This window comes from Homo sapiens, chromosome 2, assembly GCF_000001405.40.
Source record: "Homo sapiens chromosome 2, GRCh38.p14 Primary Assembly".
Classification (NCBI taxonomy): Eukaryota; Metazoa; Chordata; class Mammalia; order Primates; family Hominidae; genus Homo; species Homo sapiens.
This window is the reverse complement of record NC_000002.12, coordinates 237,572,389-237,596,729: the sequence shown is the minus strand read 5'-3', so window position 1 is coordinate 237,596,729 and position 24,341 is coordinate 237,572,389. Positions and strand designations below refer to the sequence as shown.

The 24,341-nt window shown below is 52.6% G+C and overlaps 1 protein-coding gene and 1 long non-coding RNA gene across 11 annotated transcripts, besides 6 other annotated features; one reads left to right on the top strand and one right to left on the bottom strand.

The window, feature by feature from the left end:
- Positions 147-648: an enhancer, noted in NCBI's record as "H3K4me1 hESC enhancer chr2:238504725-238505226 (GRCh37/hg19 assembly coordinates)". NCBI's record gives its function as "activates a minimal SCP1, AML or CMV promoter by ChIP-STARR-seq in primed H9 embryonic stem cells {active_cell/tissue: H9 hESC(primed)}" and the evidence as "EXISTENCE:reporter gene assay evidence [ECO:0000049][PMID:30033119]".
- RAB17-DT (RAB17 divergent transcript) lies at positions 745-5,570 on the bottom strand. Of its 4 annotated transcripts, none has more exons than NR_187201.1 (3): positions 5,463-5,570; positions 4,699-4,858; positions 745-1,790 (listed from the first exon to the last, which is right to left on the bottom strand). It is a non-coding gene; the product is annotated as an RAB17 divergent transcript (long non-coding RNA). The 4 variants fall into 4 exon arrangements; NR_187203.1 differs by lacking the exon at positions 745-1,790 and adding an exon at positions 4,959-5,164 and having other exon boundaries at positions 4,422-4,858; NR_187204.1 differs by lacking the exon at positions 745-1,790 and having other exon boundaries at positions 4,422-4,858.
- Positions 756-1,474: an enhancer, noted in NCBI's record as "H3K27ac-H3K4me1 hESC enhancer chr2:238503899-238504617 (GRCh37/hg19 assembly coordinates)". NCBI's record gives its function as "activates a minimal SCP1, AML or CMV promoter by ChIP-STARR-seq in naive H9 embryonic stem cells {active_cell/tissue: H9 hESC(naive)}" and the evidence as "EXISTENCE:reporter gene assay evidence [ECO:0000049][PMID:30033119]".
- A 425-nt stretch (positions 5,571-5,995) lies between the features above and the next one.
- Positions 5,996-22,404, top strand: RAB17 (RAB17, member RAS oncogene family). 7 transcript variants are annotated; one of them, XM_006712689.3, is made up of 6 exons: positions 5,996-6,263; positions 10,573-10,666; positions 18,575-18,726; positions 19,348-19,473; positions 21,250-21,343; positions 21,602-22,404. In XM_006712689.3, exons 2-6 carry the CDS (start codon positions 10,576-10,578, stop codon positions 21,709-21,711), a joined length of 573 nt encoding a protein of 190 aa, XP_006712752.1. In that variant the 5' UTR covers positions 5,996-6,263; positions 10,573-10,575; the 3' UTR covers positions 21,712-22,404. The 7 variants fall into 7 exon arrangements, 6 of the variants coding, with proteins under 6 accessions (XP_006712752.1, XP_047301369.1, NP_071894.1 ...); XM_047445413.1 differs by having other exon boundaries at positions 21,222-21,343; NM_022449.4 differs by having other exon boundaries at positions 10,573-10,732.
- Positions 14,529-15,163: an enhancer, noted in NCBI's record as "H3K27ac-H3K4me1 hESC enhancer chr2:238490210-238490844 (GRCh37/hg19 assembly coordinates)". NCBI's record gives its function as "activates a minimal SCP1, AML or CMV promoter by ChIP-STARR-seq in primed H9 embryonic stem cells {active_cell/tissue: H9 hESC(primed)}" and the evidence as "EXISTENCE:reporter gene assay evidence [ECO:0000049][PMID:30033119]".
- Positions 19,408-20,106: an enhancer, noted in NCBI's record as "H3K27ac-H3K4me1 hESC enhancer chr2:238485267-238485965 (GRCh37/hg19 assembly coordinates)". NCBI's record gives its function as "activates a minimal SCP1, AML or CMV promoter by ChIP-STARR-seq in primed H9 embryonic stem cells {active_cell/tissue: H9 hESC(primed)}" and the evidence as "EXISTENCE:reporter gene assay evidence [ECO:0000049][PMID:30033119]".
- Positions 21,505-22,204: an enhancer, noted in NCBI's record as "H3K4me1 hESC enhancer chr2:238483169-238483868 (GRCh37/hg19 assembly coordinates)". NCBI's record gives its function as "activates a minimal SCP1, AML or CMV promoter by ChIP-STARR-seq in naive H9 embryonic stem cells {active_cell/tissue: H9 hESC(naive)}" and the evidence as "EXISTENCE:reporter gene assay evidence [ECO:0000049][PMID:30033119]".
- Positions 23,323-23,858: an enhancer, noted in NCBI's record as "H3K4me1 hESC enhancer chr2:238481515-238482050 (GRCh37/hg19 assembly coordinates)". NCBI's record gives its function as "activates a minimal SCP1, AML or CMV promoter by ChIP-STARR-seq in primed H9 embryonic stem cells {active_cell/tissue: H9 hESC(primed)}" and the evidence as "EXISTENCE:reporter gene assay evidence [ECO:0000049][PMID:30033119]".

Genomic DNA, 24,341 nt, shown 5'->3' with positions numbered 1-24,341 from the left:
AGCCTCCTTCCCTGGGCCTGTCTCACACTGGGAGGAGCTCAGGATAAGCACGTGGGTGCCTGGCCCACACATCCAGCCTCCAGCCATGCTTCCTATTGACAGCTGTGCCTTTGCCGTGGGGCCTGCTGTGGTTTGCTCTTGGGGAGTGGACCCGGAACAGAGGCCCCTGCAGGCCTCAGAAGTGGGCTTGGGTGGGCAATTCTGCGCTTCCCGAATCTGGCAGTGTGATCTAGAAGTGTTGTCCCTTGGCCTGGAGGACTGCTCACCTAGAAGCCAGAGCATGGCCAGAGGAAGGCCAGTGTGGGGCCCTCTAGGGTGTGGTCACAGGGTGGGGCTCCTCTGAAGGGTTGCTGTGAGGACTGAATCAGATATTTTAAGCCAAGGACTTAGCACAGTGCCTGGCACATAGTAGGTGCTCAATAAAAGCAGTGTATTTTTTTTTTTTTTTTTTTTTTTGGTGAGACAAGATCTCGCTCTGTTGCCCAGGCTGGAGTGCAGTGGTATGATCATGGCCTACTGCAGTCTCAACCTCCCAGGCTCAAGCAATCCTCCCGCCTCAGCCTCCCTAGTAGCTGGGACCACAGGCATGCACCACCATGCCCAGCTAATTTTTTAACTTTTTTTTAGAGATGAGGGTCTCACTATGTTGCCCTGGCTGGTCTCAAACTCCTGAGTGTAAGTGATCCTCCCACCTCGGCCTCCCAAAGTGCTGAGATTACAGGTGTGAGCCACTGCACCCGGCCCTTCATTTTTGTTATTTTATTTTATTTTTCAGACAGAGACTTGTTCTGTTGCCCAGGCTGGAGTGCAGTGGCATGGTCTGGGCTCACTGCAACCTCTGCCTCCTGGGTTGAAGCAATTCTCCTGCCTCAACCTCCTTAGTACCTGGGATTAATAGGTGTGCGCCACCACGCCCGGCTAATTTTTGTATTTTTAGTAGAGACGGGGTTTCACCATGTTGGCCAGGTTGGTCTTGAACTCCCAGCCTCAGATGATCCACCAGCCTCAGCCTCCCAAAGTGGATAACAGGTGTGAGCCACCGTGCCTAACCCATTTTTGTCATGTTTCTAATCCTAGTCTTTACAGAATTAGGCAGGGCCTCCCACAACCCGGCTTGGCTGCCTCTCCGCCCTCACCCCTCCCGAAGCCTACCCAGACCCTGTGCTCACTGAAGGTGTCCCTGGCCCCGTGCCTCCCAGTGCATGTCTGCCCCTGGCATTGTGCTTCCGGGGCCCAGGATGCTCTCCCTCTTCTTGGCTGCCACGTGGGCTTCTCGTGCCTCCTCCGGGAGAGGTCCTCTGGATTCTTCCCCTGCCTCTGGGCAGGTAGGTCAGCCTCTCTGGCCTGTGTGAAACTGGGTGGCAGCCTCTTGCTCTGCAGGCAACTGTCCCATCCCCGCCAGGCTCTGGGCACCTGGGGGCAGGACTTGGGTTTATTCCCTTGGCTCCCCTCTGTTCTGCCCAGACTGGCGGGCAGCCACGTGCCAAACTGATTGTTGAGTGGAGGAATTTAACTTGGTGTTCAGAAATCCCTGCTGGAATTTTCCACTGAGATAAGCAAGGATAAAGGTTTGGAGGCAAGGCAGACACCACAATTCCTGCTTATCTCAAAGGCCTTAGGAGATAAGGGCATTCTGGAGAAGCTGACCTCAGGTAATTATCACAGCTGAGCTGAGTCTTCACAGCAGCTCCGCAAGAAAACCCCAAGGAGGAGGGGGCGCGCTTCCCCACAAATCCCCTGAGGACTTCGGCCCATTGTTCCCTGGCCAGAGGGGGGTCACCTGGTCACATCTGCAAGAAAGAAGATACGGAGAGGCACTAACAACCTGAACCACAGTGGGGAATCTCCTCATAAGGAACAAGGGGGGCACGGATCTGGGGCAGGCCGTTAGCAATGCCTGTTGCAAGCCTTGAGAGCTGCTTCAACATCTCTGAAATGTTTATGCAGCAGTAGGCCTGGCTCTCCACGCAACCCCAGGGCAGTAAAGAGTGGAAAGTTACAAAGGACTGACTTGGCTAGAAAGGAACCCACATGGGATAAACTCTCAGAGGAAATCCCATCACTGTCAATATTTGAGCAGAACCCGAGACATCAGGTGGCAGGAGAGTTGCAGAGATTCTTCAGCCCCTGGGCGGGCACTCAGGCCACATCCTCCCCAGGGGGCCCTTCCTGCTCCACAATGATATAATTTTACATGTTTTGGAAGGAGAATGTGTGCATGCCTGCCTACGTGGCCTGTGTAAGTGGCATTGCGAATATTCTCCCTGTCAATGGTAACACAGAAAAGTTGATAAAATGGCCAGAGACAAACTTAAAAATTGGTATGTGTTAAAATAATATTAATTCTGGTCCTGTAAGTAAATTGCTTATGTTCCGTTTTGCCTCATTTCCACTACAAGCAATGATGATTGTGCACGATACCACATCTATGTGGCATTATGGATACTGTCTGGGCGGTGAGTCCTGACCCGCCTTCCACGAGAGGTTTGTGTCTGAGCTTGCCATCCCATGTCCCCATGGGAATGCACCTTCTGATTTACACGAGCGCACCACAGGCTTCCTGCTCACGCTGGATGGCCCTTAGTGCATAGAGTGATCCGTCACAGAGGCTGGAAGCGGAGGGAGGTTTAGAACCATCTGGCTCAGCCCCCTTACTTTGGAGGCGAGTAAATTGGTGTTGGGAGGAGCTGACTGGTTCCCGAGGGAGGATCTGGCAGGTTGCTCCCAGATGACCTCTGTGCAGGAGGGGAAGCTGTGAGCCCCCAGACCCTCTTAAGTATCTGAGTTCTGGCCTTTCACTGTACCCTTGGGCCTTCATGAGGAGGGTGTCAGGTTGCTTGAGATCAGCATGAGCACCAGGCCTTGCCACACTGGCCAAGCAGGAGGCGGGCTTCGGCACTGGCTCCCCTGCCACCCGCCCGCGTGTGCCAGTGGGCTGTGAAGTCACCTGGGCTGGGGGGGCCTCCCTTGTGTGAGCTTTGGTTCAGGCACTGTGGACAACGGACTCTAGGATGGGCCCCAAGATTCCAAGCCCCTGGTGGACATGTCTGTCCCCTTGAGTGTGTGCAGGGCTGGGACTGTGATGGTGTCACTCCTGAGATCAGGTTATATTACATGGTAAAGGTGAAGGGATTTTGCAGATGTAATTAGGGTCCCTTGTCCATTGACTGTGAGTTGAGCAAAAGGGAGATTGTGCTGGGGGTGTCTGCCCCAATCAGGTGGGCCCTTTAAAAGAGGATCTAGAAGTCAGAGAGCATCTCTCGCTGGCCTTGAGAAAGCAAGCTGCCCTGTGTGAAGGGGCCTTGAAGAGCTGACAGCAGCTGCCCACTGACGCCAGCAGGAATGGGGACCTCAGCCTACTGAGGGAACTGAATTCTGCCAACAAACATGTGGGCTCAGAAGAGGACCCTGAACTCAGAAGGAGACCCCAGCCTGGCCAGTGTCTTGACTGCAGCCTGTGGGACCCTGAGCAGCGAGGCTGAGCCCCGACTCCGGGCCGCAGGAGCTGTGAGGCCATAACTGCGTGTTACTGTAAGCCGCCGAGTCAGTGGGTATGTGTTACACATCCAGAGATAACTACACAGGCATCGACCCTGTCCACCCGGGGATGCTAGAGGGGCTGTGCTGGTTTTACTCCAGGCCATGGTGAGAGCCACTGTGAACACAGGGCTCTCTCCTCTGAGCTGCAGAAGCTCTGTGCCCTGTCCCCTGCCACAAGTCACAGACTTTCTTCATGTGTTTTACCTCATGTTAATGAAGGAGATCTTCTCCAGGGGCTTGATCTAGTGGGAAACAGAGGAGGGGGGGATTTTAAATTTCAGTCCGTCCAACCCTGTAGATCTGCTGTCCTACAGTAACGTAAAGGATCACCAGGTAAAACGCTGCTTCTCCCGGACGCCGCCACCTTGCCCCTCTCTCTCACATGGACACTGGTGCCTGGGTTGGGAGTATGGCCGGTGACTTCGTGGCAGTGTGGGGAGGGGATGTGTGTCCTTACATCTGTGAGAGGTCCTCGCTTCCCCGTGGTCTCTGCTGAAAATGTCTGCCTGGACCGCCAGCCTCTGAGGCACCTTGGCCCTGCCTGCACCAGCTCCTGAGCCTGCCTGTCTTGGTGTCTCCTTCTGCTGTCCCGTGCCTGGCCCTCAGGGCCTCTCTGCACCGTCACCGGTCACTTCTGAGATCTTACGCATGTGCATTGCTCAAAGGGTGGCTGGGGTGCCACGTGGCACAGCTCTGTGCTGTTTGGGGACTGGCTTGGGGTCTTTGAGGGGTTTTCGCCTTCTAGGGAGTCGGGACCCTCTCTAACATGAGCGATGGGCTGTGACATAATCACAGTTGAGCTTAGCTGATTCCAAAACTCCCTTCTCCACACAAGGCCTGGCTTTCAAACCTGTTGTCTGACTGTAGGTACAAACCTCCCATTTTGGGTGTAAAAAGCTGGTTCTTAACCATTTTGTCTTTTTAATTTTTTTTTTTTTTTTTTTTTACTTTTTGAGATAGTTTCACTCTGTTGCCCAGGCTGGCATGCAGTGGCATGATCTCAGCTCACTGCAACCTCTGCCTCCCAGGTTCAAGCAATTCTCCTGCCTCAGCTAGGATTATAGGTGCATGCCACCACACCTGGCTAATTTTTTTTTTTGTATTTTTCATAGAGATGAGGTTTCTCCATGTTGGTCAGGCTGGTCTCGAACTCCTGACCTCAAGTGATCCGCCCAGCTCGCCTTCCAAAGTGCTGGGATTCCAGGCTCGAGCCACCGCGCTGGCCTCTTTTTGCATTCTTGCTATAAAATTGGTATTTGTATCTTCCTCCCATTCTGCGCTCCCCCAACCCTGCAGGAAGGTGGATTCTTCAAGGGAACTGGAGAGAAGAGAAGCACATTCATGTATTTCCACATTCAGCCTCCATCTCACGAGTTACACCATTCCCAGCACGTCACCACCCCCAGACCTTTGGTTACCAGCCTGGGGGCAGAGGATAAGGACGTCATTCAAAAATAGAGAGATTCTCAAGCCTCCAGAGTGCGGGGGCCCAGCCGAGCATGCTGGCGGCTTCCAGGGAGGTGGCCACGCCCCAGGGGAAGTGGTTGCATGGAGGAAGAATCTCAGAGGAGGCTTGGACGTGGTAGAGCAACGCTAGTCCTGTGTTAGGACTGGCTAGTCCGTCCTGCAGGGATGAGGGGCAGAGCCTCAGCAGAAGTCCAGGCCAGTGTCCCCCCTCCAGCATAAGAGCCCCCCACTCCCACAGGGCGGAGGAACCACTGTGGTGGCGGAGCTTATTTCCCAGCAGCCCCGCGGGATGAGACCCAAACGAGAAGTTAGGGTGAGTTTGGAGGACATAAAGTGAGCTGGCTTCCCGTATACTGGCTGTGTGGAGTAATGTTCACGGCAACAGATTTCCATCTCCTCAGCCTCAGGCCCAACCCTGCTACCCCAGCCATACTCAGAGGCTCTGGAAATCTTACCTGGAGGAGACTCTTCTGTTACCACCAAGCCAGGAAGTTTCATGGCTTGGGAAGACCAAGAGGAAGTCCACCTCCCCCTCTCCTGCACCTGGAGTCTCCCATGTGCACGGAGGCCACGCCCCCACCCCGCCCTCAGGTGGCATCAGCCCAGGATCTGACCCTGGACTGGCTCACACTCAGTTGCCTCTGGCCAGTGCAGGGCTCAGCCAGGGATGGCTTCTAGCTGACAGTGGGAGGAATTAATTCATCTGACCGGAATATTCTTTTCTCTTCTGGGCTGTTGGTTTTTCAAGTGCAACAAAGATTCCATACAGCTCCAAGGAAGGAGCCAAGAAAAACATTCTGTGCCAAAGTGAGATCCTGGAAGTGAAACCCCGGAATAAAGCTGAAAAACGGGCTCCAGTTGGGTGCCAGGAAATGCAGGACTGGAATGTGACTTGACTTCCGGCAGCGCGCAGGTGCTCCCGGGTCACCTGCTTTGAGGTCCAGCCTCCTGCCCTGCCTCAGGTGACCACATGACCACTGTGGACTTTGCCCTGAAACCTTCTGGGAGGAGAAGAGGCCTGACCTTGGCGCTGGGGTCCAGTGGGCATTGCTCTGGTCCGAGGCTGCTGCTCTTGACCTCTGCTCTGCGGCTGTTTTCCATTGGAGTAGAGGCTCCTCCTGTCCTGTCCTGCCTGTGGAGGGAAGCAAACCTTCCCCTGGACCAGAGAGAGGAGAAAGCGGAGACAGGTAGCAACGCTGTGGACTGGTGATGACAGGCTCTTCAGCTCCCTGCAAGTGACCGGGCCTGGGGAACAGGTGAGTCATTGTTTAAACCTCTGTGCCCTTTGTGGAGTGTCTGCCTGTGTGTGTGTGTGTCTCTGCTTCTCTGTGTGTGAGTCTCTGTGTGTCTGTGTGTGTGCTCACGTGTTTGTACCCATGTCTGTATTTGTTTGTGTCTGTGCATGTGCCCATGTGTGTATAATCAAAGGACAAAGCTGGGGCGGAGACTTCCTAGTTCAGATTTCTGATGGCTCACTAAGTCGGATTCCCAGAAGGAGATTCTTATTTGCATTTTTCTTCGGGAAAGTTCCGGTTTTAAGGTCTTGAAAAAAAAAAACACAAAAAACTTCTGGTAATGAGAAGAACTCTTAAAGAAATCCATTTCAAATGACATCAACATTCCCAATTTAATACCCAGTGATATCTAGGAAGCTTGTCAGGTTTTCTTGTAAACTCCTTTTTACAATCTACATTGTGTTTTCTGTATCAGATGGCTGTATTCTGAATGCAATGTACAGGTGTACCTCTCGTAATCTCAATATTCTTCACAGGCCCCAGGCAAGGGTGACACAGGATCACAGTTGCCGATAGACTCATCAATCAGACCCTTCCCTGGAATGGCCCCTTCCCCGCAAAAAAGACTAATGTGGGATTTGCTCTCCGTTTTTTTTCCCTTTAGTGGAAGGGAGGTGCAAGAGATTAAAAAGCCCCAAGTTAAGATTACTAGAGAAGCGCCAGTCTTGAATATGGTGTTCCTGAAAACATCTTTGTCTTCAACAACCTAATAACATCTTTCACTACTAATAACCCCATCTTGATTAAATTCTGGAGGTGGGGGTCAGGTGCCACACTTTTAATTTTCTCTTTGGACAGAAGGCTCCAACCTCTCATTATTGAAAGCTTACAACACTCAATCACACAAAAAGTTATATAAGAAAATGTTTACTGCAGTCTTATTACAGAGAAAAAATTAAAACTAAGTAAAAATCCAGTATTAGGAAAATGGTTCAGCAAGTTGAGATAGTTGTAGAAATGTTATATGTCCATTAAACATGATTTTGAAGCAATGTGTGAGACTGCCTTTGGTATTAAGTATTTCTTACCCATCGGATAATAATTTTATGTTAAAACTATGGGTTTTGGTTTGTTTTTAGGAGTCATAGAAAAAAACTAGAAGTAGGCAAAAATACCATTTGTGGTTGTATTACGGGGGTGGAGTTATGGGTAGCTGCTTCTTTTATATTGACACTTGTATGTTTATAGTAAAATAACCTTTTTTTTTGGAGACAGATTCTCGCTCTGTCACCCAGGCTGGAGTGCAATGGTGGGATTTTGGCTCGCTGAAACCTCTGCCTCCTGGGTTCAAGCGATTTTCCTGCCTCAGCCTCCCGAGTAGCTGGGATTACAAGCGTGTGCCACCACACCCAGCTAATTTTTGTATTTTTAGTAGAGATGGGGTTTCACCGTGTTGGACAGGCTGGTCTCCAACTCCTGACCTCAAGTGATCCACCTGCCTCGTCTTCTCAAAGTGCCTTTACAGGCATGAGCCACTGCGCCCAGCCCAAAAATAAAATAACTTCATTAAACAAAGAGACATATCATTGTCAAAGGAATGAGACGCCGGCATCCCAGTGGTCATGGTGCATTCCTTCAGAGTCCACCTGTTTCAGTTAATTCAGACATGTTTCGGGCTACAGATTTTTTGACTTAGGAAAGGTTTTATTAACCTATGCAAATAAATAGCAAAGAGAACTTGAAGGGGTATCTCTGTTTATTTTAAATTATTTTTTATTTCAATAGATTTTAGGGGAACAGGTGGTATTTGGTTACAGGGATATGTTCTTTAGTGATTTCTGAGATTTTGTTGCACCCCATACCAGAGCGGTGTACACTGTAGCCATTGAGTAGTCTTTTTTCCCTCACCCCGCCCCCGCTACCCTTTCCCCTTCCACCAAAGGGTGGAAAGTCTGGGCCGTGCCTTGACCTCTGAGAGCCTGTCCCCAGCTGACTTGAGCGGATCATCTGCTGGACTAAGTTCCCACCCCAGGCACTCTCACTGTGCCTCAGATGCTGTCTTAGTCTGTTTGTGCTGCTTTAACAGAATTCCTGGGACAGAAATGTATAAAGAACAAAGATTTGTTTCTTATGGTTCTGGAGGCTGGGAAGTCCAAGGCCAAGGGGTCTACATCTGTTGAGGGCCTTCTTGCTGTGTCATCCCACAGTGGAAGGTGAAAGGGCAAGAGAACACGCAGGCTTGTGGATGTGCAAGACGCAGCAGTGTTAATCTGTGCTGGGCGTGGATTAACGAGGGCAGAGTCCTCATGACCCAACCCCCTTCCATTAGGCCCCACCTCCTAGCATGGTTGCACTGGGGACTAAGTTTCCAAATCTGCTTTTTGGAAGATCCATGCAAACCATAGCTGGCCCCAAGAAATCATCCTCAATCCAGGTGGATATTTCAAAGCACAGGTGCTGTGTTATGTGCTCTTCATGCTTGGCCTCATTCATTCATTTCTTAGGAATTAGTACTTACTATGTGCTAGACACTGTTCCCAGCTCCAAGGAAAACAGAATTCTAGCAGTGATTCCTAGTCTTGGCTGCATACTGAGATCACCTGGAGAGCTTTTCTTTTTCTTTTTCTTTCTTTTTCTTTTCTTTTTTTTTTTTTTAAGAAACACAGATGGAAAACTTAATGTTATGTTTTTTATCCGTCTCTGAAGCCAGCATCATACTTGATGGTGAAACTTGAGTATTTCCAGCTAAGATGGGGTTCCAGGCATGTTTGGGATAACCACCCGAGTCTACTATGTGGAACCCTTCTTCTCTGATGGGTAGAGAGCCCTAAACCCTCCTGTTCTGGACTCCATGACTCTCAGTCACTTTCTCTCTAGAACGATCTTCTTGGTATCTAGGACTCAGTCCTATTTGTTTTGAGATTGATTCCAAACTTGATTCCCTCCCCTCTTATCCCTGCAGGGCAGACCAGACCAGTCTGTGGCCATGGCTCCTTACTGGCGGCAGTGAGGGCATGTGGGCTGCTTCCAACCACTCCTGCTTTTCTTCTTTCCTTTTCAAAATTCCTCCCCTTCCCCCTTTAGGGAGCCTCCCTCTTGCCCACTGTGGTGAGGAAGGGAGAAGAGACTCTGTTCCCAGGACCAGCTGCCCCTGATGGGTTTCATATTTTTTGTGGGGAGCTTCTCTTCCTAGATAATAAACACAAAGTGATAACATTAGAACATTATTAGAATGTCACCATTTTGCAACCCCTTAGTAAAATAGTGGGTCGAAGTAATAGTCTTCAGTGACTGCCAACATCACAGAAAGACAACTGGACATTATTTGCCTTCTGTGGGAAGTGCACGCACACTCTCATGGCAATCTTGCCAAAAAATAGCCTGTATCTAATCAGGTTTATGTCCTGAACCACCGCGGTATCAAAAATACAGAGTTCATAGGACTCTATTCAATAACACAGGGGTGTAATCAGCAACATCCGTACTGGAAATCTACAGGACAACCTGATTTCTTCAACACATGAACTGCAAAGAAAAAAAAATACCTGTATCTCTACTGAGATTTGCAGATGATAGAATGCCTGGGATCTGCTTTACACAGTACCCTGCAGGGGGAGGTTTGGGAGTGTGAGTGATACAAATGGCTGAGCTGATTACTGGGGAAGCGGGAGGTGGGTCTATGGGCCCATCGGACCGTTCTCTCTATTGTGGTGTGTACATGAAAGTTTCTATGATGAAAAATACGCAGGGGTCGCCCACGTTTATTTTGATCACGAAGTTGGTTTTCTCTGGGGCATATTACTGTGGGTTCTGAGGCTTTAGACACAATGGGAATGTGTCTACGATGTTTTGAGATCATTGAGACACCAACCTTTTTTTAGGTAGATTTTTTCTGAAACACCAACTTTAATCCATGAACAACCACCCAAGAAATGCTCAGATGCTTTTTACCTCTCCTTGCATTAGATACTTTGGGGACAAGTAATAGATTTGTAAAAACTGAAAGTAATGGAAGGAGGACAACAAGCCCTGAGACCGTCACATGTAATCATTGCTTTTCAGGGTCTGCAATGACCCGTGCCCGGAGCTTTCCAAGCAAAGCTCCTTTTGTTCCTTACCACAGACCTAAAAATGGACCTAAAAATTGCAGATGGGGAGATGGGGCATGGGGTGCAGAGGGAAGCAGGAGTGTGGACCTAGGTGGCCTCTGAGTTGGGAGCTCTGTATTGGGCCATCTGCTCCTGACCGAGAAGCAGCCCCGGGGTTGAGCTTGCTGAGATGATGTGGCTCCGATGTTCCACTTGCTTCAGACGGTTGTGATTCTTTGCAGGGCATGGCACAGGCACACAGGACCCCCCAGCCCAGGGCTGCCCCCAGCCAGCCCCGTGTGTTCAAGCTGGTTCTCCTGGGAAGTGGCTCCGTGGGTAAGTCCAGCTTGGCTCTTCGGTACGTGAAGAACGACTTCAAGAGTATCCTGCCTACGGTGGGCTGTAAGTGAGGGCAGAGCACCCCTTTGTTGGTCTTCAGTGCAGAAGTCTGGGCTGCTGACCCACACCTGGGGCAGATGGGGACGAGGCCCACCTAGGAATCCCCATGCTGGGACCTTGAGCTGCCTGTGTCCAGTGCGTGAGGGGAGGGGGTGAGGTCCAAGAGGGCAGCCACAGAATCTACAAAGACAGGAAATGCCCTTGGCTCTGGGTCAGGTTTCAGCTCAGCTGGAGTCTGCAGGGGGTGGAGATTCTGGGGTAGGACCTCTGGCCCCAAAGGGTCGGGCTGGGTGCGAGGGATTATGCTGGTGGAAGGGACAGCCCGGAAGAAGCCTCCTGGGCCCTGGCCACTCAGCGGCCTAAACCAGCTGTCCTCTCCCACCACCCAGGCCGCCCTCCTGCTAACACTGCTCCCTTGCTTTATTTACCCCAACAGCATCTTCCTTCCTGCCTGGACTTGGTTTACCAGCTTGGCCTGGATTGGGGGTGGGAAGATCATTTTGGGGGTGGGCGGGGAGGGAGACCTTCTCTCTGTGTTTCTTAAAAAGGCTAACCTGTCATGAAGCTCAGGAGTAACTGTATGGGGCATCTGCAGGCTGCTGGCCTCCTTCCCATCCTGCTGTGGGCACAGTCTGCCTAGGCAGTGAAACCCAGTTTTCACCTGAAATGGGGAAAGCCAGCGTGTTCTTTATGCCCATTCCCCCTGGGGGAACACATGCAGAATCAGAGCCTCGGTTTCAAATTCGGACTCTGACATGGATAAGCTGCACATCTCCAAATTCACTCATTCATTTACTCATCTAACAGGCATCTGTTGAGCATGAACCCTTTTGCAGGCCTGCGTTAGGTGGGATGGATTCTATAACCAGCTAAACAGATGCACCAAACACAGAAACACAATTGCAAGATGTGGCACATGACGTTAGCTATTTAGGGAGCCCTTCCATTTTCTCAGGGGGGTGGTTCCTGAAGGATCCCCAGGGGATACAGGGGAATTGGCAGGGGTCTGCCTGGCCCGACTCCCAGAGCTAGTGGTGAGAAGGGCCAGGGTGATGGTGAGAGGCTGTCTGCAGAGGGGGACCCTGGGGAGAGAGTCAAGGTTACCCTGTGGTGTGCAGTACAATCCTCTTCTCCATTAGCAAGGAGATCTGTACCCCTCACCCCCCAAGTCCTGATATTGGACTTGGCTTCCTTTAAAAATACATCAAAATGCCAAGGCTGGCCTGAGGGTGGCCTCAGTTGAGAATAGAGCACACAGATGGGGGCCTCACCAGGCCTGGATGTTGAGAGCTTTGTACCTGGGTGGCTGGTATTCAAGATGCAGAGAGAGGCAGCAGGTGTCAGGCCAGGTGAGCTGGACTGGGGATGGATCTCACTCTGACACGGAGGTCTGCACACTGTGGCTCTCTGGCTGTTCTTGTTGTTTTGTGAGTAAGGTTCTGTGGAGACACAACTCTACCTCTTCAGGTACTTACCCTCTGTAAATGATATTCTTGCTGTTCCTCCTCCTCTATTCACTCTAAAATGGCAGCAGGGTTGAGTGGTTGCAGCAGTGACCCCATGGCCAGTAAAACCTAAAGTATCTGCTACAGGGCCTTTTACAGAAGGACTCCATGACGCCACCCTAGCAGAGCCTGCAGGAGCCAGCGCCCAAAGGCACTCACTAGGTGAGCGCAAGCAGGGCTGAGAGATTCCGAGATGCCCGGTTGGAGCGTAGGAGGGTGCTTTGGATTCATTGAGACGTGCTTGGACGTGCTCAGCCCACAGAGAGCTGTACCCACAGAGCACCCACCTTTCTTGGGTGGGGGTGGGGGGGTGATGTGTGGGGTCTGTGAAGCTTCAGGGTGGTGCCGGGCATTCTGTATTTTACAGGTGAGGGGGATGGAGGCCCCGACAATGAGGCGCGAGGCCCTAGTTCCTTTCATTCCAGCAAGCCAGGGTCCGAGCATCCCCCTCACACCTGCCCTGCCTGTACCAATTGCCTGCCCTCTCTTCAGGGGGCCTACCAGGGTCGGGGGGTGAACAAAGCTGGGCTTGCTGGGGAGTCCTAGGCCAGGTTGGGGGTCTTTGCTTGGGGGGCAGGCCTGTATGTCTCACTCTACTCCTGGTCCTCTGTCTGGCCCCGCAGGGGCCATCCCCCTGCCGGCAGCTTTCAGATGAAAGCCAGGGCCTCCCTTCCTCCAAGCCCCTCTCTTCCAGGCCTGGGTTTATCTCCTCTCTCTGAGGGGAAGGACCGTTCTACAGGCTGGGCTCTGCCTTTCACCCAGAACTGGTGGGTGGAGTCTTTGTTCCCACTCTGGGTCTCTGTGATGGGGCCGGGGTGGGAGGCTGTGGGCTGTGGCCCGTGGCACAACGGGGAGAGGAGAACAGCCAGATTAGGTTAGCCTGTGGCTCATGAGCTGCCTTCATCCCATCAGCCTCCAACCCTGGGGTCCGCACTTTTGTATTGAGCACCTCTGTGTGTGGGCAGCTGTGCCGGGTTGCGGGGTTAGAAATGTGGAAGCTCCTTCCTTTGCTGTTGGCTGAGTCCCCTGTGGGAACCATGGTCTCCTCTGCTTCCATCCAAGTGTCTGCGTCACACCTTGGGATAATATTACAGCTTTTAGAGGTAGATATTACTGTAACTATGGATAGATGTCATGCAATTTATTATTATCATTATGTTAATTTTTTTGAGACAGAGTCTTGCTCTGTCACCCAGGCTGGAGTGCAGTGTCTCACTGGAACCTCTGCCTCCTGGGCTCAAGCCATCCTCCCACCTTAGCCTCCAGAGTAGCTGCTATCACAGGTGCGCACCACCATAGCCAGCTAATTTTTATATTTTTTGTAGAGATAGGGTTTTGCCATGGTGTGCACCACTGCACCCGGCCTATGTTAATTATTTTATTATTATTTTTTTTGAGACGGAGTCTCGCTCTGTTGCCCAGGCGGAGTGCAGTGGTGCAACCTTGGCTCATTGCATCCTCTGCCTCCTGGGTTCAAGTGATTCTCCTGCCTCAGCCTCCCGAGTGGCTGGGATTACAGGTGCATACCACCATGCTGATTTTTGTATTTTTAGTAGAGACGGAGTTTCACCATGTTGGCCAGGCTGGTTTTGAACTCCTGACCTCAAGGAATCCACCACCCTTGGCCTCCCAAAGTGTATGTTAATTATTAATCCTCATTATAATAATTACATGATCACATATTATAAATGTGGATATTGCCACTTTTAGGATGAGGAGATGGGATGTGCTCACTCCTTTAACTTACGTGCTTTGGGGGAAGAGTGATCTGTGTTGCACAAAAACCCTTTGAGAGCAGACACTCCTGCTTCTTTTGTCACGTGTGGCTTCAGCTTTTATCAAGAACACTGGGCTCCTGTCCAGGGGAGAGGGTAGGCCAGGAGCAGAGCCTCAGAGGAGAATGGGAGTGCTGTCCTCACAGGCGGCCTGGAAATGCAGGAGGCAGCACGCCCAGTGCTTGGCTGCAGGATCCCCGAGGGAGGGACAGGATGGATGGCCACAGGCATGCCACTCCTTCCCTCCGTCTGGATTTTTTCCCTGTGAAACGGGAGTGTAAACACCTTCCTGGAGTGGCCTCTCCATGAAAGGTTGCTGTCACCCTGGGTGGCTTAAGGTCACCAAGGCCGGCCCTGTCCGAGGGGTCAGCCTTCAGGAGGATTGACTCAGGTCCCTGGGGCCCTCCCGAGGGTCTGGTTCAGTCGACAGGTGTGTGGGGTGGGGCCCACAGCAGGACATGACACAGGTGGTGGGCTCAGCTCCTGGCAAGACACCGTCCATCCAGAGGAAGCAGGAAGCAGAGCCAGAAAGGGACATGGACTCGAGCCCTGAAGCTGGAAAGCCAACGTGCTGGCTGGAGCCAGAAGAGCAGGCAGGAGCAGAGGCAGAACGGACGGGAGTCCGAGGGACGGGAGTCCAAGTGAGCGCAGCCTCCCGCCCACCCCCGCCAGGGCCTGCTGCGGAGGTGGCAGCTTTAGGAGCCCCTGCTGTGTCAGGGACGGGGGCTGGACCTCCCCATGGACTGCCCCCACTGTCCTAACAGGCCACAGCAGGGGAGATTCTGTGCGCTGCTGACTTTCTGCATGACATCTTTTGGAAGGATGGTGACATCTAGTGCTTGTGTGCACATTTGCCAGCTGAAGCCACAACTAACCCCAGACTTGTTGGGCTTTTTCCAGGAAGGGGACGGTGACAAACAGGTACTGAGCACATTCAACTTGGCACCAGCTGACTTCCCTTCTAAATCGAGAACGTGGCTGACGTCCTAGAGCCCCCAGAAAATAAGTTTCCATTTCATGTTCCTTTCAATTTGTCATCAGCTCACTATTTTTACAAAACAGCCAAGTGCTACAGAGAGGGCTTCAATGAGCAGAATTGGCTGTTTATTTAAATTAAAAGGTAAAAAAAGCAAAACCACTTAAATGATATTAACATTTAGTAGAGAGGCTGGGCGCAGTGGCTCATGCCTATAATCTCAGCAATTTGGGAGGCCGAGGCGGGCAGATTGCCCGAGCTCAGGAGTTGGATACCAGCCTGGGCAACATGGTGAAACCGTGTCTCTACTAAAAAAATAAAATTAAATTAAAAAAATAAAATTTAGTAGAGGAACTTTTTTTTTTTTTTTTAAGATGGCGTCTCATTCTGTTGCCCAGGCTGGAGTGTGGTGGTATGATCACAGCTCACTGTAGCCTCAACCTCCTGGGCTCAAGCAAGCCTCCACCTCCACCTCTTCAGTAGCTGGGACCACAGGTGTGCGCCACCACACCCAGCTAATTTTTGTGTTTTTTGTAGAGACAAGGTTTCACTGATCTTAAGCTCCTGAGCTAGATTGATCTTCCCTCCTTGGCCTCCCAAAATGCTGGGGTTACAGGCATGAGCCACTGTACCCAGCCAAAACTTTATTTTTTAATTACATTTTGGCCTTAGCCATGGAGATATAGAAATGTGGTTAGTGGGTTTCTGAAAAAGGTTATGATAATAAATGCATGCTGTCTTCCGGGTCAGAGCCACGGAGTGCACGAGACTAGGTTGCCTCAAATACCTGTCCAGGGGCCCACCTGAGGGCCTTACATCTCTGCAGGGAAGGGAAGGGTCTATGTTCTGTAAATAGCCAAACATTGACTATTATTATGCATTATCATTGCTTGGACTAAAACCCATGCCCTCCTTGGAAATTTGCTGGAATTTTACATTAGTGTAAATTCAACCACCAGCCATCATTTTCCCTCCCCTCCTCCCCCCCCTTCTTTTTTTGAGGCAGAGTCTCACTCTGTCTCCTGCTGCCCAGGCTGGAGTGCAGTGGCACAATCTTGGCTCGCTGCAACCTCCACCTCCTGGGTTCAAGCGATTCTCCTGCTTCGGCCTCCCGAGTAGCTGGGACTACAGGGGCATGCCAGCACACCTGGCTAATTTTTGTATTTTTAGTAGAAACAGGGTTTCACCATGTTGGTCAGGCTGGTCTTGAACTCGACCTCAAGTGATCTACCCACCTCGGCCTCCCAAAGTGCTGGGATTACAGGCATGAGCCACTGTGCCCAGCCTCCAGCCATCATTTTCAACATGGAAAAGGAAAATATGAGAGGCTAAGATTGGTAAATGGAGGAAGAAAACCTGAATTTTATGCTCACGTTTCACCCTGCGCCAGCTTTTAAGATAAAACCAAATTCAAACTGAGAAATGTGATTTGAAGTGATGGGAAACAGAAAGATGTGGATAAAAGGCCCACGTTTTAAGACAACAAGTCCACAAAGAGCAAAGAGGACAGAAAGAAGAAGCAAAATTCATATGCCCTTTCTCTCCTTGCTCAGGCGATTTAACAGCCACCCTGGGTGAAGGGCACCATTAGCTCCTGCTATGGATGAGGAAGCTGAGACTTAGAAAGTTTAAGCAAGCTGCCATCAGATCAGCTGATGGGTGTACATTTATATTCTGGGCACGGTCTTCATTCTGGCACCATTGTCAATCCAGTGGAGCATCTGGTGTGTTCAGAGGTTTATAGCCGGTTCAGTCCCGACAGTTGCCCCATCTAAGCTGGAAATCACTGGTCCTACTGTCTGGATGGAGACTGCAGCTTTGTTTGACCTGGGGAGTTGGTCTGACTTCAAGTTCCTGGACCTGCAGGGAACTGCAGGACATGCGGGCAGAAGAGCCCAGGCAGTGGTTTCCGTTTAGGAAGAGGTTGTCTCATGATAGAGAAGCACGGTCTTGCTGCACCATGCTGGAAAGCTCTGTCCAGCCTCCTGTTCTCTGTCCAGCCTCCTGTTCTCTGTCTAGTGGGTGCAATTGAGTTTCTCCCACCCGTAAAGAGGCGATTAAGTCCTAACCCCCGGAACCTGTGAGTGCGACCTTATTTGGAGAGAGGGTCTTTGCAGATGTAATTAATTAAGGCCAACAAGATGGAACTTAGGATAGCCCTTAAGTCCAGTGACTGACATCCTTATAAGAAGGGGAGAGGACACAGCCACAGAGGGGCAGCCACGTGAAGACAGAGCCAGAGATGGGGGTGATGCAGCCACCAGGAACACCAGGGTTGCCGGCAGCCCCTGAAGCTGGAGGAGGCCTGGAATGGATTCTCCTTCAGTCTCCGGAAGGAACCAACCCAGCCAACGCATCAGTTTTGGACCTCTGGCCTCCAGAACTGCAGGAAGAAATTTGCTAATTTGAGCCACTCGGCTCATGGGACTTTGTTTTGGCAGCCGCAGGACACTCATGCACTGTCCTTGGAGTGTAAGTTTTTATTTTAAACATGTGGCTCCATTTGCCAGAATCTCCCCAACAGACCCCAAACCCAATCCAGGGTCTAGGCAGGGTAGCAGCTTTGACAGGAGCCTGTCGGTGCTGGTGGCTCCTCCATGCCCCAGACACCTTGCCTTCCCCCGCCCCGTCCTCTCCAGTTCTGTGTATAACACATTCCTGACAAGCCACACACAATGGGGCAAAACATTTTGGAGATCTATAAAATAACCATTTTAAAATCATATAACTTTGGAAAGCAAAGGGTAGAAAATCTTTAAATGAACAGTGCATTGCCCAATATGTTAAAGTGCTTGGGAGTAGTTGTGTGTGTGTGTGTGTGTGTGTGTGTGTGTGTGTGTGTGTTAAGCAGGTACATGGCTGAGTAAGACAAAGCCCCTGCCTTCCTGGGGGAGACAGGTGGAGAACGCAGGAGGCCTTGCCTCTGGGTGTGTATGGGGTGCAGGGAGGCTTCCGTGGAGGCAGGGGGCCCAGCAGCCCTTCCGGGGTTGCCGCTGGAAGATCTCAGAGGATGCCTAAGAGTTTTCTAGGTGAACAAGAGGAAGGATACCATGCAGAGGGGACAGTAGAGAAGGGTGTTGGTGGGGAGCAGCATTGGGAAAGTGGGGAGGTTAGCAGGAGGCGAGGAAGGCCTTGGAGGAGCCTATGCAATCGTGACTGCCTCTGTGCAAGATGGGTCTGGCAGGCGAGGGGCCGGTAGGCCGGGGGTGCCCAGGGCTCTAGGGGTTCCCAGAGCCCAGCTGCATCGCTGGAAGCTGGCAGGGATGCATCGGACTCCCAGTAAGTGGAGATCCCTTTCACGGCATATGTAGCCCAGAGCTTTTGTATTAGGTCCTGGAGAGATTTATCTTCCCATCCAAAGCCTCTCCAAAGGCCCCATAGCAATCACTCCCAACACTTTGCTCGATGTGGAAGGCTCCATCTCCCAGAAGAACTGTTTGCTCAACCTCCTGGCCATGCGGGCGTGGGAGATGCATGGCCAGCTGTCCCTCTGAGCCCATTGCTGTGCCTGCGGCTTGCCGTGGTCCCACCTGAGCCGCATGTGGCAACCTCGTCCTCTGAGTAAGCCCTCTGGGCCTCCCTGTTTCAGGTGCGTTCTTCACAAAGGTGGTGGATGTGGGTGCCACCTCTCTGAAGCTTGAGATCTGGGACACAGCTGGCCAGGAGAAGTACCACAGCGTCTGCCACCTCTACTTCAGGGGTGCCAACGCTGCGCTTCTGGTGTACGACATCACCAGGAAGGTAGGGCCCGCCTTGAGGCACGTCCCACCCTCCTTCCCAAGCACCTGCCTTCTGGTTTCTCCAGTGCAATGATGCCATGGCGTAATCACAAGGAACAGAGACTCCATTAGTGAGCAACAGTCACCTCCTCCAGGATGGCCTCCTGACAACCCCCCATCCTCCTCCACAGTGGGGTTCTGCTCCTCCGTGGTCCACAAAGAACATGCCGTTGCCATCTGCCACTCAGTAGTTCCTGGTGCTGCATTAGGGTCAGGGTTTGGGGTGGTGGCCAGTCCCCCAGACTCTCTTGCACAAAGTGGTCCTTTGAGGACAGCTAGGCGTGGGAGATTCAGGAGCTCGAGGCCTGACCTGAAATACCCCGTGGCTGGCAGTCTCCTGGGCCTGGTCAGGGTGAAGGATCTGATGTGTGTCCTAGCAGTTTTCTGCCTGGCCGCACAGGTCACCCAGGACAGGAACGTGCCCTCCTCAGAGGAACGGAGCAGCCCTGCAGGTGCGCCCATGGCCAGTTGGATTCTGTGACATTTTACACAACGTGATCAGCAACACTGGCTTCCCCCTCCCGGAATAGCTAATGACCACCTATAAGTTTTGTTTGATGTTACTTTTTTTCTTCTTTTCTAGGATTCCTTCCTCAAGGCTCAGCAGTGGCTGAAGGACCTGGAGGAGGAGCTGCACCCAGGAGAAGTCCTGGTGATGCTGGTGGGCAACAAGACGGACCTCAGCCAGGAGCGGGAGGTGACCTTCCAGGTACCGCCCAGGAGACCCTGCTCTGCTCTTCCACAGCAGGAGAGAGCCCTGCCCGCCTGTGTCAAGACCTTGGCACTCACACTTTCATACACGCACACCCACACACGCACACACTTACACATGTGCACACACACCTCTACACGCCCACATGCATTTACACACATGCACACCCCCCACATTCACTCTCACTTGCACCCACACACATTTACAAGTGAACACACACACACGCACACACACACAGCTTTCCACCTGAGTTTCTCTTTTAGTCAAAGATTTCCGGTCTTTCCTGAAAAACTCAGGCCCAGTGCAATGGCAGTTCAAGCCCAGTGGCCGGCAGAGGGAAGGGCAGGGCGGCAGCTGCAGGGTGGGCTCGGCTTGAACGAGAAAAGTGATCTAGTTCCTCAGCAGGGCTCCCTTCCCTACTCTGTTCCCAGAAGGGGCTTCTGTGCAAATGTAGCCTCCTTCACTCGAGTTTTGTCAGTCCTCCTTACAGGCAGAGGCAGCGGTCACCCAGGTGTCGCTGTTGTTTCTCTTCCACGGCATCCCACCTCCCCCACCACATTTAGGACGAAGACCGTGTAAACAGCTGCAGACAAGTGGCTGATGGGGAGACCCCACACACACTAGAGGCTGGCGCAGGGGAAGACCCAACTCAGGGCTTAGACCGACGGGCGCGCCTCCCAAAGAGAAAAGGCCCCAGCTTCAATGGAGGCTGTGGAGAGATGGAGAAGTGGGGTGAAGATTTTGGAGAATCTCGGGGGAGAGCAAGGGGAGCAAAGGGAGACAGCGTCAGTCTGAGCCCTCGTTGCAAGTTGGGGTGGGGGAGAGAGGATCCTGGCAGCAGAGCTGTGCCCTCTGAGAGTGACTACATGGGCTGTGTGCTTGGGCAGGCACAAAAACATGGGCACGAGGTTACTCAAGGCTTGGAGGGGCAGTGGGCGGCCAGGGTGGGTTTGGAGCGTCTGTCTGGGGAGCTGGCTGGGGAGCTCAGTGGGGACAAATGCAGGGCCGGCCGAGGGATCTCCGGGCCAGGACAGGAGGAGTGCACTCACGATGGTGGATGGTGCGAGAGCTGGGGGCATGGCCGGCCACACCTGCTGCCAGCTCCATGTCTGGCTGGACAGTCAGGAGCCTGAGCTGTGCCCTCTGGGATCCACCACAGGCTCCTCTTCCTGGGAGAGTCCCGGAGGCCAGGGGAGGGGCCTGCACAGGAAGGCCCCCATTCCTCGGCCACCCTCGACTCCTGGGCAAGGCTGTGGCCTTCCCATGAATGCTTTCTCCTGGTCACCCGTTGCAAGCCTGCTGTTTTCTGGTTTGCCTTTGCTCTGGGACATCCATTTCTCCCCAGAGGAGAGCTGTGTTGGAAAATGAGGGTTCCCCAGAAGAAGGGCCCAGGTGGGTGCCGTCCAGGGGCCTCCCTCTGCCTCATGTTTCCTGGGTTCTCAGTTGGTTCTTTGCCCAGCATCAAAGCCCACAGGTGCCAACAGGCATGATGGGAGGGGAACCTGGGGGTGGGGACTTGGCTTTCCAGGCCCTGCAGGAGGAGGAAGGCCGCACCCCGCCAGCTAGAGGAAGAGCCTCTTCCAGGGAGCACACCCCGCCCCTCCCTGGTCCTGGCTGCTCAGGAGTGCCAAGAAACACAACTTGGACACGAAACGTGGAGGAGTGCGGGCTCCACGGCTGCAGCTTTCTCGGATCTTACTGTTGGAAGTGAACCAGGTGTCCTTAGGAAACTCTCTTATAAACAGCGCTGGATTTTGTGGCTGTTTCCTTCAGGAAGGGAAGGAGTTTGCCGACAGCCAGAAGTTGCTGTTCATGGAAACTTCGGCCAAACTGAACCACCAGGTGTCGGAGGTGTTCAATACAGTGGGTGAGTCACGTCCCCGTGGGCCAGACAAGGGGGAGGTGCTTGTCCCTGACCAACTTCCCTGGGTCCCTGTTGCTGGTGACGTGGTATCCCATAGAATGTCTTTAGGGACTGGATGGTGACCAGGAGGGGCAGGAGGCCCTTGTTCTATGGTTCAGGGTAAACACAGGAGGGGCGGGTCCTGGGGTGGCTGGTCTGCAGGGCTGTGCTGGGCTGGGCGACTTCCCTCCCTAGCCAGCCCCCTCCTCTTGCTGTTCACAGCCCAAGAGCTACTGCAGAGAAGCGACGAGGAGGGCCAGGCTCTACGGGGGGATGCAGCTGTGGCTCTGAACAAGGGGCCCGCGAGGCAGGCCAAATGCTGCGCCCACTAGGTGCAGCCACTCCTGGGGGCTGTGGGGAAGACACCCCCTGCCTGGGCCATGGCCAGCTCTAGGTGGATTCTGATTCACTGTCAATGCTGGGTTGCTCCCGAGCCCTAGATGTTCCTGGAAGTTGGCCCCCTTTATGAAAACCACTTCCCACAGCCAGTGGGAACTGCCAGAGGAAGATCTGGCGTCACATGGCTCCCAGGAAAGTGCTGTGCCCTATCCCCACTGATACCATCTGATTCCCCGATGCCTGTGCCTGTTCCACCTGGACGGTGGCCCCCTCAGCCTGGCAGCCTCTGGACAGAGAGGAAGGAAGGATTGGAAAAGTCCCCGCAGCACAGCGACGGTGGGAAGATGCCTTACGTCTGATCTTGATGGGGGCACTGGCCTGGAGCCTGGGCCCACCTGCTTCTGGGGGGTTGGGGAGCAGGCCAGATGGAGGTGGTGGTGCCAGGAAGAAATGGAGCGATGACTGACTGTGGGGTGGGCCCAGGATTTCCACATCTTGGTGAAGTTGCCCCTGGGAAGGGCAGCTGGGGGCAGTGGCGCCAGTTCCCTTCCATGGTCTCCCGGCTGGCAATGTGGTGAAGCTGAGTTTCTGTCCAATGAGCAGGAAGATTCTGAGACATTTCGCCTGAGATATAAGTTGTACTGCGTATGCAGTTTTTCCTCCAAAAATTAAATTGCTTTTGACAATCTGGCTTTTAGAAGTTTTTGAGGACAAGGCAGGGCACTGCGCCTGGTGGATGGTTGTAGGTATTTCTGTATAGATTCTGGGAGGGCTCCTGTTAAGTAAATAAGGAAGCAGGCCCATGCGGCAGGCTGTGACTATCGTGGGCCTGGCCCAGCTCTCTGGATGGGATGCATTCCCAGATGGCCACACTTCTTCATCCTGCCTGCCTCCCTTTACAGAGAAACCCATGTCTGAGTCTGTTTTTGTGTTGCTATAAAGGGATACCTGAGGCTGGGTGATTTATGAAGAAAGAGGTTTATTGGGCTCATGGTTCTGCAGGCTGCACAGGATGCACAGGGCCGGTATCTGTTTCTGGTGAGGCCCCAGGCTGCTTCCACTCATGGCAGAAGGCAGTGAGAGCTGGCGTGCAGAGGTCACACGGGGAGAGGAAGTAGGAGAGGGTAGCAGGGAGGTCCCACTCTTTTTAACAACCAGCTCTGGGGGAACTCTTACAGGAGCTTTGGAGTAAGAGCTCCATCATTACTGCTAGGATGGCACCAAGCCATTTATGAGGGACCCACCCCCATGACCCAACACCTTCCATTAGGCCCCACCTCTCACACTGGGGGTCAGAGTTCTTCTTCTTTTTTTTTTTTTTTTTTGGAGATGGAGTGTCGCTCTGTCATCCAGGCTGGAGTGCACTGGCACGATCCCAGCTCACTGCAATTTCTGCCTCCCAGGTTCGAGCGATTCTCTTGCCTCAGCCTCCTGAGTAGCTGGGACTACAGGCACGTGCCACCACACCCATCTAATTTTTGTATTTTTTAGTAGAGACGGGGTTTCATCATGTTGGCCAGGCTGGTCTCCAACTCCTGGCCTCGGGTGATCCACCCGCCTCCACCTCCCAAAGTGCAGGGATGACGGGCATGAGCCACTGCGTCTGGCCCTGGGGGTCAGATTTCAACATGAGGTTTGGAAGGGACAAATATCCAAACTGCAGCAACCCAGACCCTGTTTTGGGAGGTAAACCCCACATGATGTTTTCCTGTTGGGTCTCTATCTGGACACCTGATGTGGCAAGGTTATTTCAAAGGTGGCCACTTTTTGGAAGGTGATATTGGTTTTCATCCTTGTCCCTATGATAAGCAGGTGTAAGTTTTAAACAATAAGACATTGTTATCCACCTGGAAAAAGTGGCATCACTGTATTGGCTGCTGTAAGGATCAAGGAAGGAGAAAGCAAAATACCTCCCGTTTGACGCTGAGCTTCTCATCACACAGAAGGGGAAAGAGCTCTGTGCCTGAGGCTTCCCCGGCTCCTCCGGGCTTCCTTCTGCTCTCACTCACTTTGTGTAGAGATGCCAGGCCTTGACCTTCAGTGGGGCCCAGACCATGGGGAGCCCTGGCAGGGGATGGGGGAGGGGACACAGAGGCCAGCCATTGCCTAGGGCCTGTCTGGTGAGGCTGGCTGTGTCCTGGCCAGAAGCCACTGCCCCTGTCCAAGAGGCCTCTTCCTCCTGCAGGTTCTGGTGGCTGCTCCCTCTGCTCATCCATTGGGCCTAGGGTGGGCACAGCCCCTCCTTGCCAGCCTGGGTTTCTCAGTGTTCCAACCACAGCTTCATAATAGCTCCTCCCTCATGATCCCTGGCTTCGTTTTCCTAACTGGAGGAGCCACCTGGGTCCACTGGGCCCCTGGCAGATCCAGCTTTCAATCTTGGGGACAAGGAAACATCTTGGATCTTCCTTGGAGTCTGGCTTTCCTGGTGCTAGTGTGACCTGAAATGAACTCCTCACGTGATCTTTACTAGACAAATGCAGAGCAGATTTCACACACCTCTGTCATGATCTCCAAGAAAAGCTAAAGGATAAATAAAGAAAACAATAGCTTCCTAGAGGGCCTGTTCCCTTGATTTTCGCGAGGACTGTCCTCGTTTCTTAGACAATTTCACAGGTGAAATCTG